The sequence below is a fragment of the Homo sapiens genome, chromosome 4 (assembly GCF_000001405.40).
Source record: "Homo sapiens chromosome 4, GRCh38.p14 Primary Assembly".
Lineage (NCBI taxonomy): Eukaryota > Metazoa > Chordata > Mammalia > Primates > Hominidae > Homo > Homo sapiens.
The window spans coordinates 110,688,031-110,694,452 of record NC_000004.12 but is presented as its reverse complement, the minus strand read 5'-3'; the positions used below and the strand labels follow the sequence as shown (position 1 = coordinate 110,694,452).

General features: G+C 40.2%; 1 annotated feature.

Annotated features, from left to right (window-relative positions):
- Positions 1,043-1,598: an enhancer, noted in NCBI's record as "NANOG-H3K27ac-H3K4me1 hESC enhancer chr4:111614011-111614566 (GRCh37/hg19 assembly coordinates)". NCBI's record gives its function as "activates a minimal SCP1, AML or CMV promoter by ChIP-STARR-seq in naive H9 embryonic stem cells {active_cell/tissue: H9 hESC(naive)}" and the evidence as "EXISTENCE:reporter gene assay evidence [ECO:0000049][PMID:30033119]".

The window sequence follows — 6,422 nt, the reverse complement described above, 5'->3', positions numbered from 1 at the left end:
AATAAATAGAAAACAGAAAAAAAATAGCAAAAAATCAACCCAGCTCAAAGCTAATGCTTTTAAATGATAATAAAATGGATAACCTCTAGCCAATCTGATCAAGAAAAAGAAAAGAAAGACATTATCTAACTTTTATTTTTTAATAAATTTTTAAAAGTTGAACTCATAGAGTAGAGAGTAGAATGATGTTTACCAGAGGAGGGGGGTGGGAGGATGGGGTTGGGCTGATGTTGGTCAAAGGATACAAAAGCAGAAGGAAGAAGTTTAAGAGATTTATTGTATATATAGTTAATAACAATACACTATATTCTTGAGAATTGCCAAGAGAGTAGATTTTAAGTGTTTCCACCACAAAAAAAAAAAAAAAAGAGTATATGAGGTAATGGTATGTTAAGTAACTTGTTTTAGCCATTTCATAATGTATACATATTTCAAAACACCATGTTGTATGCAATAAATATATAAATTTTGTCAATAAAAAATAACTTTTTTAAAAGGTTTTTTAAAGCAAACTTGCTTTTATGTTTTCATCTGAATTATACCCAAACCAGGTATCTTAAGTTTAGAAGTTAATCAATATTTTTCCTTCTTAAAAAAAAAATTGGCCTAAATCACCAAGAAAGTTGTGTCAAATCTAAACATTCCTATTTGTTATTGTTTTAAGCATTCCTTTTTCTCTGAAAACAAACAAAGCCAAAAATAAACAAAGAAACAAAAGATAGGCAAGGATTTTCCAGTGTTAGGGATTTTTCATTAGACAAAAATATTGGAGGAGCTAAGATGGCCGAATAGGAACAGCTCCAGTCTACAGCTCCCAGCCTGAGCGACGCAGAAGACAGGTGATTTCTGCATTTCCATCTGAGGTACCGGGTTCATCTCACTAGGAAGTGCCAGACAGTGGGCACAGGACAGTGGGTGCGCGCACCGTGCACGAGCTGAAGCAGGGCGAGGCATTGCCTCACTCGGGAAGCAAAGGGTCAGGGAGTTCCCTTACCCAATCAAAGAAAGGGGTGACTGACGGCACCTGGAGAATCGGGTCACTCCCACCCGAATACTGCGCTTTTCCAATGGGCTTAAAAAATGGCGCACCACGAGATTATATCCCGCACCTGGCTCGGAGGGTCCTACCCCACGGAGTCTCGCTGATTGCTAGCACAGCAGTCTGAGATCAAACTGCAAGGCGGCAGCGAGGCTGGGGGAGGGGCGCCCACCATTACCCAGGCTTGCTTAGGTAAACAAAGCAGCCGGGAAGCTCAAACTGGGTGGAGCCCACCACAGCTCAAGGAGGCCTGCTTGCCTCTGTAGGCTCCACCTATGGGGGCAGGGCACAGACAAACAAAAAGACAGCAGTAACCTCTGCAGACTTAAATGGCCCTGTCTGACAGCTTTGAAGAGAGCAGTGGTTCTCCCAGTACGCAGCTGGAGATCTGAGAACGGGCAGACTGCCTCCTCAAGTGGGTCCCTGACCCCTGACCCCCGAGCAGCCTAACTGGGAAGCACCCTCCAGCAGGGGCACACTGACACCTCACACGGCAGGGTACTCCAACAGACCTGCAGCTGAGGGTCCTGTCTGTTAGAAGGAAAACTAACAAACAGAAAGGACATCCACACCAAAAACCCATCTGTATATCACCATCATCAAAGATCAAAAGTAGATAAAACCACAAAGATGGGGAAAAAACAGAACAGAAAAACTGGAAACTCTAAAAATCAGAGCGCCTCTCCTCCTCCACAGGAACGCAGCTCCTCACCAGCAATGGAACAAAGCTGGACAGAGAATGACTTTGACAAGCTGAGAGAAGAAGGCTTCAGACAATCAAATTACTCTGAGCTACGGGAGGACATTCAAACCAAAGGCAAAGGAGTTGAAAACTTTGAAAAAAATTTAGAAGAATGTATAACTAGAATAACCAATACAGAGAAGTGCTTAAAGGAGCTGATGCAGCTGAAAACCAAGGCTCAAGAACTACGTGAAGAATGCAGAAGCCTCAGGAGCCAATACGATCAACTGGAAGAAAGGGTATCAGCAATGGAAGATGAAATGAATGAAATGAAGCGAGAAGGAAAGTTTAGAGAAAAAAGAATAAAAAGAAACAAGCAAAGCCTCCAAGAAATACGGGACTATGTGAAAAGACCAAATCTACGTCTGATTGGTGTACCTGAAAGTGATGGGGAGAATGGAACCAAGTTGAAAAACACTCTGCAGGATATTATCCAGGAGAATTTCCCCAATCTAGCAACGCAGGCCAACGTTCAGATTCAGGAAATACAGAGAATGCCACAAAGATACTCCTCGAGAAGAGCAACTCCAAGACACATAATTGTCAGATTCACCAAAGTTGAAATGAAGGAAAAAATGTTAAGGGCAGCCAGAGAGAAAGGTCGGGTTACCCTCAAAGGGAAGCCCATCAGACTAACAGCAGATCTCTCGGCAGAAACCCTACAAGCCAGAAGAGAGTGGGGGCCAATATTCAACATTCTTAAAGAAAAGAATTTTCAACCCACAATTTCATATCCAGCCAAACTAAGCTTCATAAGTGAAGGAGACATAAAATACTTTACAGACAAGCAAATGCTGAGAGATTTTGTCATCACCAGGCCTGCCCTAAAAGAGCTCCTGGAGGAAGCGCTAAACATGGAAAGGAACAACCAGTACCAGCCGCTGCAAAATCATGCCAAAATGTGAAGACCATCCAGACTAGGAAGAAACTACATCAACTAACGAGCAAAATAACCAGCTAACATCATAATGACGGGATCAAATTCACACATAACAATATTAACTTTAGATGAAAATGGACTAAATGCTCCAATTCAAAGACAGACTGGAAAATTGGATAAAGAGTCAAGACCCATCAGTGTGCTGTATTCAGGAAACCCATCTCACGTGCAGAGATACACATAGGCTCAAAATGAAAGGATGGAGGAAGATCTACCAAGCAAATGGAAAACAAAAAAAGGCAGGGGTTGCAATCCTAGTCTCTGATAAAACAGACTTTAAACCAACAAAGATCAAAAGAGACAAAGAAGACCATTACATAATGGTAAAGGGATCAATTCAACAAGAAGAACTAACTATCCTAAATATATATGCACCCAATACAGGAGCACCCAGATTCATAAAGCAAGTCCTCAGTGACCTACAAAGAGACTTAGACTCCCACACATTAATAATGGGAGACTTTAACACCCCACTGTCAACATTAGACAGATCAATGAGACAGAAAGTCAACAAGGATACCCAGGAATTGAACTCAGCTCTGCACCAAGCAGAACTAATAGACATCTACAGAACTCTCCACCCCAAATCAACAGAATATACATTTTTTTCAGCACCACACCACACCTATTCCAAAATTGACCACATAGTTGGAAGTAAAGCTCTCCTCAGCAAATGTAAAAGAACAGAAATTATAACAAACTATCTCTCAGACTACAGTGCAATCAAACTAGAACTCAGGATTAAGAATCTCACTCAAAACCGCTCAACTACATGGAAACTGAACAACCTGCTCCTGAATGACTACTGGGTACATAATGAAATGAAGGCAGAAATAAAGATGTTCTTTGAAACCAATGAGAACAAAGACACAACATACCAGAATCTCTGGGATGCATTCAAAGCAGTGTGTAGAGGGAAATTTATAGCACTAAATGCCCACAAGAGAAAGCAGGAAAGATCCAAAATTGACACCCTAACATCACAATTAAAAGAACTAGAAAAGCAAGAGCAAACACATTCAAAAGCTAGCAGAAGGCAAGAAATAACTAAAATCAGAGCAGAACTGAAGGAAATAGAGACACAACAAACCCTTCAAAAAATTAATGAATCCAGGAGCTGGTTTTTTGAAAGGATCAACAAAATTGATAGACCGCTAACAAGAATAATAAAGAAAAAAAGAGAGAAGAATCAAATAGATGCAATAAAAAATGATAAAGGGGATATCACCACCAATCCCACAGAAATACAAACTACCATCAGAGAATACTACAAACACCTCTACGCAAATAAACTAGAAAATCTAGAAGAAATGGATAAATTCCTTGACACATACATTCTCCCAAGACTAAACCAGGAAGAAGTTGAATCTCTGAATAGACCATTAACAGGCTCTGAAATTGTGGCAATAATCAATAGCTTACCAACCAAAAAGAGTCCAGGACCAGATGGATTCACAGCCGAATTCTACCAGAGGTACAAGGAGGAACTGGTACCATTCCTTCTGAAACTATTCCAATCAATAGAAAAAGAGGGAATCCTCCTTAACTCATTTTATGAGGCCAGCGTCGTTCTGATACCAAAGCCGGGCAGAGACACAACCAAAAAAGAGAATTTTAGAGAATTTTACCAACCAAAAAGAGTCCAGGACCAGATGGATTCACAGCCGAATTCTACCAGATGTACAAGGAGAAACTGGTACCATTCCTTCTGAAACTATTCCAATCAATAGAAAAAGAAGGAATCCTCCCTAACTCATTTTATGAGGCCAGCGTCATTGTGATACCAAAGCCGGGCAGAGACACAACCAAAAAAGAGAATTTTAGACCAATATCCTTGATGAACATTGATGCAAAAATCCTCAATAAAATACTGGCAAAACGAATCCAGCAGCACATCAAAAAGCTTACCCACCATGATCAAGTGGGCTTCATCCCTGGGATGCAAGGCTGGTTCAATATACGCAAATCAATAAATGTAATCCAGCATATAAACTGAGCCAAAGACAAAAACCACATGATTATCTCAATAGATGCAGAAAAGGCCTTTGACAAAATTCAACAACCGTTCATGCTAAAAACTCTCAATAAATTAGGTATTGATGGGACATATTTCAAAATAATAAGAGCTATCTATGACAAACCCATGGCCAATATCATACTGAATGGGCAAAAACTGGAAGCATTCCCTTTGAAAAGTGGCACAAGACAGGGATGCCCTCTCTCACCACTCCTATTCAACATAGTGTTGGAAGTTCTGGCCAGGGCAATTAGGCAGGAGAAGGAAATAAAGGGTATTCAATTAGGAAAAGAGGAAGTCAAATTGTCCCTGTCTGCAGATGACATGATTGTATATCTAGAAAACCCCATTGTCTCAGCCCAAAATCTCCTTAAGCTGATAAGCAACTTCAGCAAAGTCTCAGGATACAAAATCAATGTACAAAAATCACAAGCATTCCTATACACCAACAACAGACAAACAGAGAGCCAAATCATGAGTGAACTCCCATTCACAATTGCTTCAAAGAGAATAAAGTACCTAGGAATCCAACTTACAAGGGATGTGAAGGACCTCTTCAAGGAGAACTACAAACCGCTGCTCAAGGAAATAAAAGAGGATACAAACAAATGGAAGAACATTCCATGCTCATGGGTAGGAAGAATCAATATTGTGAAAATGGCCATACTGCCCAAGGTAATTTACAGATTCAGTGACATCCCCATCAAGCTACCAATGCCTTTCTTCACAGAATTGGAAAAAACTACTTTAAAGTTCATATGGAACCAAAAAAGACCCCGCATCGCCAAGTCAATCCTAAGCCAAAAGAACAAAGCTGGAGGCATCACACTACCTGACTTCAAACTATACTACAAGGCTACAGTAACCAAAACAGCATGGTACTGGTACCAAAACAGAGATATAGATCAATGGAACAGAACAGAGCCCTCAGAAATAACGCCACATATCTACAACTATCTGATCTTTGACAAACCTGAGAAAAACAAGCAATGGGGAAAGGATTCCCTATTTAATAAATGGTGCTGGGAAAACTGGCTAGCCTTATGGAGAAAGCTGAAACTGGATCCCTTCCTTATACCTTATACAAAAATTAATTCAAGATGGATTAAAGACTTAAATATTAGACCTAAAACCATAAAAACCCTAGAAGAAAACCTAGGCATTACCATTCAGGACATAGGCATGGGCAAGGACTTCATGTGTAAAACACCAAAAGCAATGGCAACAAAAGCCAAAATTGACAAATGGGATCTAATTAAACTAAAGAGCTTCTGCACAGCAAAAGAAACTACCATCAGAGTGAACAGGCAACCTACAGAATGGGAGAAAATTTTCGCAACCTACTCATCTGACAAAGGGCTAATATCCAGAATCTACAATGAACTCAAACAAATTTACAAGAAAAAAAACAACCCCATCAAAAAGTGGGTGAAGGACATGAACAGACACTTCTCAAAAGAAGACATTTATGCAGCCAAAAAACACATGAAAAAATGCTCACCATCACTGGCCATCAGAGAAATGCAAATCAAAACCACAATGAGATACCATCTCACACCAGTTAGAATGGCAATCATTAAAAAGTCAGGAAACAACAGGTGCTGGAGAGGATGTGGAGAAATAGGAACACTTTTACACTGTTGGTGGGACTGTAAACTAGTTCAACCATTGTGGAAGTCAGTGT